Below are 13,574 nucleotides of genomic sequence, written 5' to 3'. Positions count from 1 at the left end.
CAGGAGAGGATGCCTCATGGCCCGAGTCCTTGCCTCACTGGGGCTGCCTGGCTCAGACGGGACCTCTTACAGTGGCGCCTTTCCTGCCCTGGCACCCCCACCTGCCATGAGGAAACAGCCTCAGAGCACAGAGCCCTGACCCAGCTTGGCCCTGCCCACTCTGGTGATAGTGCTCTGTGGTCAGGGCCTGGACAATACCACCCTGAGACATTACCTAGACCCACTCTCCCCATTATACGGATGGGGAAGCTGAGGCCTAGAGAAGGAGTGGGCTCACCCAGGGTCACCCCGCTCGTCCATGACAGGACCAGGACTGCAGTCCAGGTACTTCTATGGCCTCAAGTTGTCCGTTGTTCCCATCTCTCCCCATGGCTGCTTCTTCCCAAGCTCCCATCCCATATGTCTCAAATATTCCCAGCCACCCAGAGTCCCATGGACTGCTCCATGCTTGGGGAGAAGGGAAGGACATCAGACACAGCTGAAAATGACACAGGAGGCAGAAGAATGCAGGAAGCATTTATTGAGGGCCAGAGCTGCATTCTACAAGAGGCAAGAGGCAGGACACAGGCAATCTCTAGTGGGTTAGAGGAGAGGTTGGGGAGAGGGCAGTGACAATGAGAGAACAGCCAGGCGCTGGCTTGGGAACTGCCGGTTTCTCAAGGCTGCCTCCTGCTAGTCCTCTGGGAAATGCAGGTAGAAATGGATCCTCTATGCTACTGCCTCAGCCAGAGGCCTGATGGTGTCCCTTCCCTGGGAGGGGCCCTTAGCCCCAGTCTCCTGTGCTACAAGGGACCCAGCAGCAGGTAGGGGCTTTGGTAAATATAGTCACTCATCATTAACTGAGTAAGAGCACCTTCTCATCTTCACAGCAGCAGGAGCATTCCTGAGGCCCAAGGAGCCCTCTAAGGTCACTCTTTCATTCCAAAGCACCCTGTCCCAACCCTATCTTCCATACTGACCTTAACTCCCTCCAGCCTCACTTGGGGGTTCCAGATCTAACATCACCCCGGTAAGTCCCAAACCCAAACTGTCCCTCACCTTTAGCAACATCCTGGTATCCTTTCACCTACATACGTTTGATCCTCAGCCAATTCCATACCCCCAGCTGATCCTGAAGCTAATATTCTGAACCTCTAGAAGGCTCTACCAGCCAACTCTGGAAACTACAGAACTCAGCCATATTCCTCCCTGAGTCCCCCCTGGGGACCTGAATCACAGCCACCAAGGTTTAGGGAACCAGTGAGGGCCTGCAGCCAGGCTCCCCCAGGTCACTGGGCACCAGGCACTAGCTAGGTCAGAGTGCACTGGGGAAGGGATGGGGCAGGATAATGTCTACTTTTCTGGGCACGATATGGACACTGGGACTGAGGTCTGACACTGAAGAAGGGGACATTTCCAAGGGGACCAGAAATACAGGCAGACCCTAACTTAACACCCTGCTCACGTACCCAAGCTCATCGGCCCCTAAATTCAAGCCCAACTAGCCCACCACCACCACCCACCCCCGACTTCCTAATATCATGGAATGCATTTCAAGACTGGAAGAGCCCTCAGGGGTCATCTGAGCCAATCCTGTCCCCTGCTAGAATCTCCTCTATGCATCCTGGCCATGCTTTTCATATTTCCCGTAACAAGTAACTCTTTGTCTCTCTCTTTCCCAATAAGCAACCCCAAACTGAGGGCAATCAGGTAAAGTCACATGGTAGCTCTGTATCTCTTCTCTCCCCAGTTCAGCTTTGAGCCCAGAACCTGCCATGAATGGGCCCAGAAGGAACAGATGAGCTGGAGGCCCAAGTCCTGGGCCTAAGGGAAATCACTGCCTTATAATTCTCTTATGGCTGCAGATAAGATGTCCTGGACAGTCTGAACTGGGATGGAGAAAGTAGCATGACAGGGACCCGGGGAGAATTTTCCTGCCTCTTCCCTCCAGAGGGGATAGTGGGACACCTTGAGCTGGCCTGGGAGACCTCTCTAAAGGTCATTGTGATAAAAATAGAGCTTGTCTGGGAAGGGATGGAAAACAGCTGCTCCTGCCTGGGACTTGGTGCCAGGGAGCCGGATGGTCAGGCCAGTGCCTGGACATGCGACACAGGCCTAGGACCTTCTGAACACACCCCGCTTGCCAGACTCCAGACAGCAGAGCCAGGAGGGGAGGGACGAGTATGGAACCCTGAAGGTAGCAAGTCCAGGGGTCCATATACACACTGCCCCGCCTCATCCAAGGCACTAACTAGTGTGTGTGTGTGTGTGTGTGTGTGTGTGTGTGTGTGTGTGTGTGAGAGAGAGAGAGAGAGAAAGAGAGAGTGTGTGTGCATCGGTGTGTGTACTGATGGGAAGGGGAATTTTGACGTTTGTGGATTGCCTTGGCCAAAGCCACCATTAAACAGATGGGAAAGCTGAGGGTCAAACAAGGAAGGGTCTTACCCAGGGTCACACAACAGCTGAATGAGAGCAAGGGCTAGAACTCAAGCTTGCGTCCCTAACCCATCCCCAACCCCAGAGCTCTCCTCTGCTGACCCCTCATCTCTGGGGCTGCCCAAAGAGGCCAGACCCTTTGGGTCCCCCAGGTCTAATGAGCCTTCTTCTGGCTCTGCCCTCCCGGGGTGGGGTCGGGGGTGGGGCTCTAGGTGGTGCAGGAGGCCTCGGCGGGGAGGCTGCCACGCTTGAGCCGAAGGCTGCCATTCCACCCGCGGGGACAGATATTGTAGCCCAGGATGCCTGGAGACTTAGCCCCGGAGTCCTCGGAGTCGAGGGACACGTCGGAGTCCGTGGGCGAGCGGCGGTAGAGGAAGGGCCTGGGAGGCGCGGGCAGCGGGCTCCGGGGACTGGTGCAGGACGAAGGACCGGCGGGCAACGGGCTCCGCGGGATGGGCGCGAAGGCTGCCCCCGGCACAGCAGCCGAGCCGGGGCGGGCGGGCTGTGGCGAGCGCATGCGCGGGGGCGGGGGCGGGGGCGGGGGCGGGGGCGGTGGCGCCCTCGGCGGGGAGAAGGGCCGCGGGTTCTCGGCGCCCGCCGACCGCGGGGAGGCGCTCTTGCGCCGGGCCGCATTGATGATGTTTCGCGCCAGAAGCGCCTGCAGCTGGCGGCTGGGGGGCCGCGCCTCGGTCTCAGGTCGCAGCGGGGACACCGAGCGCTCGCTCCACGAGGGAGACATGGGCGGTGGCGGCGGCAGCGGCGGGGGGCTGCTCATGCTGCTCCCGCGACCTGGCTCCCACGGGCCCGGGCTCACCCAGCCGTCTAGGCTGCTGGGGGGCCGGGACGCGCCCGGCGTCCAGGGTGGGGAGGTGGGCAGGCTCTCCCGGCGGTCCTGGGGAGAGAGCAGAGAGGGTGGGGCAGGCATTAGTGCTGAGGTCTTCCACACCGGGCTTTAGGAAGGGACGGAGTCCGATTTGTCCATTACACCGAGAAGGGAAGCCACCGATCCAAGTCAGGTAGTGCCTGCAATAAAACGCAGGCGCCCAAACTCTCAGCCCGGAACGCCTGAAGAGTCCCCGCTGTCTTGTGTCTGCCTCCGTGTTAAGAAGACTCGCTTTGGAGAGAGCCGCCTTAACTTACTAACTGAGCTTGGGCAAGTTACTTCACCCCTCTGGGCTTCAGTTTCTGCTTCTGTAAAATGGGGTGTGATAACAGTACTTAACCTTATAGGGTTGTTGTGAGGGTTAAATGAGATAACTGATGGAAAAGAACATTACATATATCGGCACATTCCTTGGAAGAAAGTGCTCAATAGATGTTGATTACCATAAAGAAATACCAGAAGGGCTTGGCGCGGTGGCCCGCGCCTGTAGTCCCAGCACTTTGGGAGGCCGAGGCGGGTGGATCACCTGAGGTCAGGAGTTCGAGACCAGCCTGGCCAACATGCAGAAACCCTGTCTCTACTAAAAATACAAAAATTAGTGGCACGGTGGCGCGTGCCTGTAGTCCCAGCTACTGCGGGGGCTGAGGCAGGAGGATCGCTTGAACCTCAGAGGCGGAGGTTGCAGTGAGCCGACATCGTGCCACCGCACTCCAGCCTGGGCAACACAGCGAGACTCTGTCTCAATTTAAAAAAAATACTAGAAGGATATACATGAAACTAACCAAAATGGTCACCTGTTAGGAAATGGGGTGAGAACAGGAACAGGGCACACAGTCTGAGGCACTGGGAGCTGCTCTGTCTGTGGCACATCCCGGGAAGCTTTCAGTCAGGCTAGCTGAGGGAGGCTTCGGTTTCCCCATGACTTAGGGAGAGGAGCTGGGAGGGAGGTCCCGGGCCCAGGGCCACATGGGAAGAACTAGATAGAGGCTGAGACTAGTGTCTCAGGGCCAAATGCCAAGTCAGGGTGGGCTCTGTGTGTCCTCTCATCTGACCACAGTGTCACCCTGAGCAGGGAGGTGGGGCCTAGAGCTCATGACCCAAGCCAGTCAGCAACTATTGAGGCAGGGGAACCTGGCTCTTCAGCCAAGAGAGTAGGCTGGGGCAGGGAGATGGGAATAAGGCTTTTTAATATATTACTTTTTATATAAGTTTAGATTTCTGAACCATATGAATGTATTATCTATTATCAAAATTAAAATGTAAAAATATTGACCATTATTATTTTTTAAGATGGAGTTTCGCTCTTGTTGCTCAGGCTGGAGTGCAATGGCACAATCTCAGCTCACCGCAACTTCTGCCTCCTGGGTTCAAGTGATTCTCCTGCCTCAGCCTCCCGAGTAGCTGGGATTACAGGTGCCTGCCACTACACCTGGCTAATTTTGTATTTTTAGTAGAGACGGGGTTTCTCCATGTTGGTCAGGCTGGTCTCGAACTCCTGACCTCAGGTGATCCGCCCGCCTCAGCCTCCCAAAGTGCTGGGATTACAGGCGTGAGCCACCGCGCCTGGCCGACTATTATTAAAGTTGGACTTAGGGAAAGACCCTCTCAGCCCCAAACCATTTGCCATGTTGCCATGGTCACCTCATCATCTTTCCTTGGATGCCTGAACAGGGAGGAAGATGCCCCTGACAGATGGAGATACAAAAGGAAGTCGGGCCATTCCTCCCTAGGCAGCACACGCCCCTCACTGAGCTTTTTCACAGCAATGGGGAGGGGAGTGTGGTTTTGGAGAGGCCAAGATGGTGAACAGCTTGGAGGCTATGAAGCACTGGTCAGCGATGCAGAGCCATACCTGTTTCCTATGTACTTAAGGACTTTCAGTCTACAAACTTCATTCTCATCCTTTATCTCATTAGGTTTTCACAACAGACTAGTGAGGTAATTAGCATTACCACACCCATTTTACAAATGATGAAAATGAAGCTCAGAGGTGTAAATAACAATCTAGTGTGTTCTGCCCCACCAGGAAGTGTGTGTGTGTGTGTGTGTGTGTGTGTGTGCTGCTCAAAGGCTACATGTTTAAGCGGTTTGAACTGGTTTGAAAGTGGAGGGCTTGGGAATCCCTGCCTAACATGTATCTCCTGAACTTTCCAACTGTTCACCCAATCAGATTCCAGCAATAACCAGTCCACCTTGCCATTTAATCCAATCCAAATTCACTAGCAGTCATCCACCAGAGTTCAGAGCTAGCCAGTCCATTCCATGCTTCCTACCCGATCAAAATCTAGAACCATCCAAAGATTTATTCTTTCATCCAATCAGTGATCAGCCATAACCAAGCCAGTCATCCTCTCATCCAACTGAGAGTCTTCTAATTCCTCCCAATCCAAAGGAAATAGACACCAATTGTATGTTTTATCCAAACAGAATGTAGCAGCTGCTAGATGAGCCCAGACTCCAAACTGGAGCCCTTTAACCTAAAGAAGAATGTTATACAACAGCCTGAGCAGGACATTTTTCATGGGATACTAATGCTGGAGTGACCCTTAGAGACTCCCTAGGGACATCCAAGCTCCCAGTCATCAAGCTGAAAGTTAAGGCTCAGCCTGGGATCCCACTGTTTTCTTCCCAGGGTCAGAATTGTGTATACATGAGCCAGAGACACTGGGAGCTTCTCTGTGCCAGTGGAACATCCCAGTCAGGCTGGCCGCAGAAGGCAGACCCCACAGTTTAGGGAGAGGAGCTGGGAGGAAGGTCCCAGCTCCAGGGCTAGAAGAGGAGGGCTAGGGCCAAATGCCAAATCAGGGTGGGCTCTGGCATGACCCAACACCTGACCACAGTGCCACCCTGAGCAGGGAGGTAGGGCCTAGAGTTCATGACCCAAGCCAGTCAATAACCACCCAAGGCAGCGGAACCTGGGGTCTTCAGCCAGGAGAGTAGGCTGCACAGGAGAGCTATGATAACTACCTAAAAATCTCTAAAGCATTGTTTCTGCCTTTGGTGGCCACAAGGGGAATGCTGAGGCCAACAAGTGGAAGAAATAACAATTCAGCCAAGACTACAAAACAGAAGGGCTCAAACGGGATTGAATGTTGAGGGCAGTGGTAAGCAGATCCCCATCATCTGGAGATGGGCCAGAGCCTGACCTCACCCTAACAGCCATGCCTGGGCACTGACTCTGTGTGTATGTTTTTGAGTCGGGGGTGTGCACAGTACGAAAAGGCTGCAGGAAATCAGAACTGTTCACTTTCTGACAGAGAGCTCAATGCACCGTGCACACCAGAGCTCCTTGGGAATGCGGTGGGTGAAAATTCAAAAAGTAGCATCCACTCAACCCAACCCCAGACCCAAAGCAGGGCACATGTGTGGGGTGAATACATAAGTAGAACACAGTCAAACCTGGACTGTCGGAGACCAAATGGTCTCTGACCTCCTTCTGTAATCCTTTCACTGCACAGAAGGGGAAACTGAGGCCCAGAGATTGGAAGAGGTTGTCTGAGGTCACACACGAATCAGATGCAGACCTGGGGCTAGAACCCAGCTCTCCTGACCCTTGATGGCAGTTCTTTCCTCCCCACCAGGGGCAGAAACTCCATGCTTTTAGGATCCAGACAGTGAAAACAATGGCAAATGTGGGAAATGGCCAAATTTAGATAATGGGGAGCAGGGAGGGGACCTGAGGGAACTGGAGAGCGAATGCTGGCTAGAGGAATTTCTATTCCACTTGTAAAGAACCCAAACAAACCTCAACGAGAAGAGGTAGTGCATTTTCCCCAAAAATCCTCTAAAGTATTTTTGGCCAAACTCTGAGGGAAGGAAAGAACAAAAGGTTGCGATTTGCACAGGGTTCTGGCTCCCTGAGTGCTGTAGAGAGGAAGCCCTCATTTCCAACCCAGCACACGTCTGTACCAGTGCAGAACCAGACACACGGCAGGTGCAGGCAGCACGCAGGACACAGCCACACTTTCACACACAGTAATTGAGCAGGCCCACTCCACTTCCCAGGCTAGAATCAGGCAGGAGGAAGGGAACCCTGACCCCTAGCAGCACGGAAGAAAGAAAGAAGCAAGACGGATTTGAGGCAGAGTGTATTGAGAACATGAGAGAAAACAAAGTTGGGGGCAGAGCTCAGCCTGGCCGCAGGAGCTGCAGAATGAAGGGCGGGCTCTTCCATTGGTGGCCCTCAAGGGTAGAAGGGAGCAGGGGTCCAGGGCAGGGGCTTCACTCTGTTCTGGGAGAGGCCAGGCCTGAAGGAGCTGAGCTCACTCACAACTCCCCCACGCATACCCCCTCGATCTGTGTGAAATGAGCTCACTAAGAAGGCACCCCTGTTCCCATGGAGACAAGCCCAGAGCTCACAAAAACTGCAGGCTCAGCCCAGCATGGGCACTGCCTCCACCACCCCTTGCCCCACTGGGGAACCCAGAACTAGGGCTGGGAAAGAGAAGTGGGTGGTCCTCGGCCCCCAGCCTTGCGAAGCTTCCATCTGAATCCTGCCACTTGTGTCTGTATTCTCTCACCCCCCACAAAGCCTGGTTTGGTCGGGGGCTGTATCATATCACCTCCAAAAGTGTCAGAGGCGATGGGAAGTCTCCAGCTACCTGACTTAACACCCTCACTGTATGAATGTGGAAACTGAGACCTACAGACACACATGCAGTTGGTCTGTTAGAATCCAGGTCTCAAGTCCCAGATTTTCCTCAAAATTCTAAGATCTCCTCTGTCCCTTCCCACTGCACTGCTATGCACCTGCCCCAGCTCCTGCCATGCTCCTACTGTCCCCAGGCAATCCTGAGCCTAAGCCAGCCCAGCCCAGCCCAGCCCAGGCATCCCTTGGCCTCCTGCAGCAGCTCATTCCAACCCTTCCCTCACCAGGTCACCCTCACAGCCATCTAACGCCACCTGTCCTTTGGCAATAGCCCATTTCCTTTCTCTTTCTTCCCAGGGGACTGTCTTGTCACTTACAAGGCCTTTCTTCAAAGCACCAGCCTATCCTCTCAATCCTCACAGATTGTTACAGCTAGAAAAGCCCTCCTTGTATAAATGATAAAACTGAGGCCCAAAGAGAATGTGAGTGGGCCAAAGTCACACAGCAAATGAGAAGGTGACATGGGACCGGAACCCTCCTCTCCTGCCTCCCCCTGGGCCCCGTTCCACTGCGCTGAGGTGGCTTCTTTTAGTCAGGCAGATCTTGGTTGAATCTGAAGCCAAAACAGCCAATGGATACATGGCTAGGGGCCACCCTCCCTGTGGCACACCCACATCTGCACAGCCCCCTACAGGGCTCTCCTTCTCCTGGGGATCCCCTGGGACGTCCCCCACCCCTAGAGCGGTGACAGCAAGCCAGGTAGAACTGGGGCTGAGGCCTGGGCCCAGTGATCTCCCTAAAACAGAGCCAGGCCTCAGAGGGGGCAGGAAGAAAAGCGTCAGACAGCAGTGGTGGGCCGAGTCCGCAGCCAGCAGAAGGACCCTGGAGGGGAGCGCAGGCGGAGGCGAGGCAAAGCTCTCTGAAGCAGCGGAGAGGAAACGGTGTCCAGAAGGCAGAGGCAGAAGAGACAGGCCCATGGAGGTGAGAATCCAGCAACAGGAAGAAAGACGCCAGGAGCTTGAGCCTCAGGAGGGAGGCCCCCCTGGGGCAGCTGAGGAGGCAGACCCTCGGCTGGCTGACTCCACAGGCACTGGCAGGCTCTGTCTGCTCCAGAAGTCCCTGTTAGGATCCCCTTCTAGGCCACTCCCCCAGCAAGACGCTGGCATCAGACTCTGCATCCCTACAGCTCACAAAGGCCAGAGGATGCCCCTCTACCGCATCAGGGCTGCCAGACAGTTCTCTCTCCATGACCCTCCTCCCCGCTCAGACATGGAGTCCGACCCCTGTTGTAGTAGGGGAGGGGCGGCTTCAGCTCAGAGAGGGGAGGCGACTCGCCCAAGGTCACAAAGCCAGCTGGTGGCCGCATCTGACCTTGAACCATGGACTCCCCATTCTCCTCACTCAGCTCTGTGCCATTTCCTGCCACATCTGCTCTCCATCTGGCCCTCAAGGAGGGGAACTTGACCGGCAGTGGGACCCCCGTGGGGTTCGTTACTTGAAGCAGAAGGAAGGCTTCCACACCTGAGCCTCGATCCCGGCGTTCCGGGTAGAGAAGGAGGGCCTGGGGGCCTGCTTGGCTCGGGGAGACCACGCCCTGGAGGGAGACACGGGGGAGATGTCACCGCCGTAAGGAGGGCTCACGGCAGTGGGCTGCAGGCTGTCCTGGCCGGGGGAGGTGTAGAGGCCCGGTGAGGAGCGCGAGGGCCGAGGCAGGGCAGGAGATGGAGGGAGAGCCCCCTTGGGCAGGTTGGGCACCAGGTCCAAGGAGCTGGGCTTGGCGGGCGAGGCAGCTCTTGGTGAGACCTTGGCAGGCTCCTTGATAGGTGAGAGGACAAAGAGCGAGGGGCGCAGCTGGTATGGCGGCTGCTTGGTGGGCTCTGGGCGCAGGACCCCGTTCTCAGGCAGGTAGCCATGGTAGAGGGAGGCAGGCGGGGTCCGGGCTGGGCTTCGGGATGCCACTCGGAAGGCCCCGGGGGCGTTAGTGGGGTATTTCCAGGAGGAAGGCAGGGACATGGTAGGTGATGGGCAGCGGGCCAGCTCTGGCGTGTGGCTTGAAGACTCGATGACATATTTCTCCATCCGTGACTGGCGGCGGGCGTAGAGCTCAGCTCCCTTCCCAGAGGCCTCGGAGAGGTTCTGGTTGGGTTTGGGCTTCGGCTTGGCCTGGATGCGGGGTGACTTGAGGCAGGAGGCCCACTCTGGTACCACCTCCTCCGCCGCCGCGGGGCTGGCCCTGTCACGAGGTGCTGGCTCCTGCTGGAAGTTGGAGGCCTCGGCCCCCAGTGCGAAGGGCTCCTCCTCCACGCCTACCTCCCCCTGGTCCCTCTGCCGCCGCTTCTCATCCGCTGTCTGTACCAGATCCAGCAAGTCTGGATTCGGGGTCACCTTGGGCTTCTCCACGAAAGTAAACATGGATTTGCGGCTGCCCCGGCGGGCCATCGACTCCTCCAGAATGCCCGTCTTGCTGGCAGGAACCGCCTGGCCCTTCAGATGAGAAGACTTGGGGTCGGAGCTGGGATACAGGACAGAATATGAGGGAGGAGACCTCACCCAGGAAGCCAGAGGGGCTGTGGACAAGGTCTCAGTGTAGGTGGGGGGTGCAGTGAAGTTCCCCAAGGGGCGTCTCTCTGAGGCCGGGCTTCGCTGCCCCATCATCCTCCTTTCCACCATGGGGCTGCGGGACATTATGTGTCTCTGTGGCCGGGGGCTCCTGTCTGGCAAACTGGGGGGCTGGGGAGCCGGGGCCTTCTCCCCAAAATGTCGTCTCTCTAGCATGGGGCTCCTCTCCATCTGGCTGGTGCCCCCTGGCGCCTGGATCCCAAAAGGCCTGGCCGTCCTGTTGACCACTGATGGGGGCTTGGCCAGTGTGAAGTGGACCTCACTGTAGACCTTGGTGGGCGTGGTGGCAGCTGCTCGCCCAGACATCTCTTGATCTGCTGACACCACTAGGGTGTTGGGCTGGATGTCAATGAGCAGGGAGCTGGACATGAAATCTGAGGCTGGGGGCCTGGAGCTGGGGATGAGCGTAGCTTCTCTGGAGAAGGTGCTGGTGGTGGTAGCTGGAGTTGATACCTTGTCAATTAGGAGTGTGCTGCATCTCACCTCCTCAGCCGGTGCCTGGGGTTGCCCATCAGCACACAGGGTGCTGGGTTTGGAAGCAGGCCCTGTGCCATTAGATGGGAGTTGGGCCTCTGAGGAATTCTGTTGGATGCTAGAAAGTGGCAGGCTCTGTGGGACAACAGTTGCCGGTGGGTTCTGATTGACATCGGTGGCTGGCGGATTGTGGCTGCTGTTAGAAGTTGGTGTGGTGAGCGTGGCACTGGGCGAGGCAAGGTTTTGGTTGACATCTGCAGCTGGGCTGTGGACCTCAGCTGGAGGTGGGGCCGGTGAGGACTGCTGGGCCTCTCGGTTTTGGGACAGGTGCAGCCCATTGGCTGTCAGCAGTGCTGCATTCTCCTTTAGATAAACCACCAGTGGTACCTCTTCCTCCTCACTGGCCACCTTCTCCAGGTGCCGCAGCAAGCTAGCCTCCTCTGAGTACCCCTCCATGCTGTGGCCAGGGACCCCTCTGTCGGGGCTCTGGGGACTGGGGTGCCGTGGAGGGCCTGGCTCCGGCAGCGAGGTGGAACTCAGGCTGAGCCCCGGTGCATGGCCTGGGAGGCTTGAAGGGAGCACTCTGAGGGACTCCTGGCTGGGCTTCTGTCCCCTCTGGCCGTGGCTCTCCAAGGTGAACTCGTTCACCCTCTGCCGGCGCCTGTTGAAGAGCTGGACGCCACGGGAATTGGAGCTGGGAGGGGTGGTCAGCTGGGCTGCAATCTGCTGGCTCCGCGCCTTGGCTTCTTTCAGATCCTTCTCCGTGAGGCTAGTGCTCCGGCCCAACGCTACAGGGAGGGACAAAAGCCCAGTTAGCAAACAGGAATGCAGTGACACAGGGGTGCACGGACAAACAGGCAGACAGAGATGGTCGCCTCGGCCCTTCCTACACAGGATCTCTTCTGGAATTTAATCGTCACTCACTGTTTCTTAGAATTAGCTCACTTCGTAATCAGCCCTGACCTACCTTTCATGGCCCAACTCAAATGCCACCACGTCTACGCCACCCTGATTATCCTCTCAGGATTAACTGGTCCCTGATTTGGAATCCCCCTGACAGTTGCTGATATGGCACTTTACCAAACTGAGTACGAACACCTCACCCTAGAAGTCCCACCGTGTCCCCAGTTCCTCCCCACTGCCTTCTCCTCTCTCACTAGGCTCTGCCACACTGGCTTGCTTTCTCTTCCTTGAAAATGCCAAGTATGTTCCTGCCCCAGGGCCTTTGGACTTGCTGCTCGCTCTCCTTGGAATAATCTTTTCCCAGGTAGCAGTCCATGCTGGTTCCTATCTTGCCACTCAAGTCTCAGCTGGAATGTCCCCTCTCTGGAGGCACCTTTCCTTCTCCTATCCCATCTGTTTTGTTTTCTCCATAGCATTCACCAAGTTGAAATGATCTTTATGTTTCCCTGTCTATTATCTGTCTCCTCACCTACAGCATAGCTCCAAGGGGCAATGACCTTGCCTGACTTTTTTTTTTTTTTTTTGAGAAGGAGTTTTTGCTCTTGTCGCCCAGGCTAGAGCGCAGCGGCGCAATCTCGGCTCACTGCAACCTCCGCCTCCCAGGTTCAAGTGATTCTCCTGCCTCAGCCTCCCGAGTAGCTGGGACTACAGGCATGTGCCACCATGCCCGGCTAATTTTTGTATTTTTAGTAGAGATGGGGTTTCACCATGTAGGCCAGGCTGGTCTCGAACTCCTGACCTCAGGTGATCCACCCGCCTCGGCCTCCCAAAGTGCTGGGATTACAGGCGTGAGCCACCGTGCCCGGCCACCTGACTTGTTTATCACTCTAACAACAGCCCCTAGAACAGCACCTGTCATACAGTGGCACTCGGTAGATATTGCTGAATGCACAAATGAACCCCCAGAATATTTTCTGTGTGCCTTCCTTAGGGCCCTTTATACTTTCAGAATTATAGCATAGGAATGTGCTCTAATTTTTTTAAACAAAAATGTTTTAATAAACCACCGTCTGCTTTTTTTAATTTGTATTTATTTATTTTTTTGAGACAGTACCTTACTCTGTCACCCAGGCTGGAGTGCAATGATGAGATCTCAGCTCATTGCAGCCTCGACATCCTGGGATCAAGTGATTCTCCTGCCTCAGCTCCCCAAGTAGCTGGGACTACAGATGTATGCCACCATGCTCAGCTAATTTTTGTATTTTTTTTTGTAGAGACAGGGTTTCACCATGTTGCTTAGGCTGGTCTCAAACTCAGGTGGGCGCAAGTGATCCGCCCACCTCAGTCTCTCAAAGTGCTGGGATTACAGGCATGTGCTTTGATTTTATAAAGAGACGCCACTAATATTTCCCCTTTTTAGGGTAGGTAATACATTCACATAGTCTAAAAATTTATTTATTCATTCATTTTTATTTTATTTTTACTTTTCTGAGACAGGGTCTTGCTCTGTTGCCCAGGCTGGCATGCAGTGGCACCATCATAGCTCACTGCAGCCTCAACCTCCTGGGCTCAAGTCATCCTCCCACCTCGGCCTCCCAAATATCTGGACTATCGGTGTGCGCCACCACACTTAGCCAATTTTTTTTTTTTTTTGTATTTTTTGTAGAGAAGGGGTCTCCCTGTGTTGCCCAG

General features: G+C 55.5%; 1 protein-coding gene across 14 annotated transcripts in view, besides 3 other annotated features; it reads right to left on the bottom strand.

Annotated features, from left to right (window-relative positions):
• The window catches only part of SYNPO (synaptopodin), a 73,198-nt gene continuing 60,127 nt past the window's right edge, over nucleotides 504–13,574 (bottom strand). For 10 of the 14 annotated variants that reach the window (XM_047416688.1, XM_047416689.1, XM_047416687.1 and 7 more), the window contains 2 exons: nucleotides 9,408–11,767; nucleotides 504–3,307 (listed from right to left, as the gene is read on the bottom strand). In XM_047416688.1, coding sequence (XP_047272644.1) covers nucleotides 2,624–3,307; nucleotides 9,408–11,767 — 3,044 coding nt within the window. In that variant the 3' untranslated portion in view covers nucleotides 504–2,623. Of the gene's footprint in view, nucleotides 3,308–5,478; nucleotides 11,768–13,574 lie in introns of those variants that run through there. The other 4 variants (NM_001166208.2, NM_001166209.2, XM_024454351.2 and 1 more) reach the window with 1 other exon arrangement.
• Nucleotides 2,910–2,969: a silencer, noted in NCBI's record as "silent region_16516". NCBI's record gives its function as "represses an Ori minimal core promoter by ATAC-STARR-seq in GM12878 lymphoblastoid cells {active_cell/tissue: GM12878}" and the evidence as "EXISTENCE:reporter gene assay evidence [ECO:0000049][PMID:35858748]".
• Nucleotides 3,110–3,329: a silencer, noted in NCBI's record as "silent region_16515". NCBI's record gives its function as "represses an Ori minimal core promoter by ATAC-STARR-seq in GM12878 lymphoblastoid cells {active_cell/tissue: GM12878}" and the evidence as "EXISTENCE:reporter gene assay evidence [ECO:0000049][PMID:35858748]".
• Nucleotides 7,593–8,094: an enhancer, noted in NCBI's record as "H3K4me1 hESC enhancer chr5:150031179-150031680 (GRCh37/hg19 assembly coordinates)". NCBI's record gives its function as "activates a minimal SCP1, AML or CMV promoter by ChIP-STARR-seq in naive H9 embryonic stem cells {active_cell/tissue: H9 hESC(naive)}" and the evidence as "EXISTENCE:reporter gene assay evidence [ECO:0000049][PMID:30033119]".

The sequence above is a fragment of the Homo sapiens genome, chromosome 5 (assembly GCF_000001405.40).
Source record: "Homo sapiens chromosome 5, GRCh38.p14 Primary Assembly".
Lineage (NCBI taxonomy): Eukaryota > Metazoa > Chordata > Mammalia > Primates > Hominidae > Homo > Homo sapiens.
Note: the sequence above shows the minus strand (reverse complement) of the source record. Positions and strands in the feature narration are given on the sequence as shown.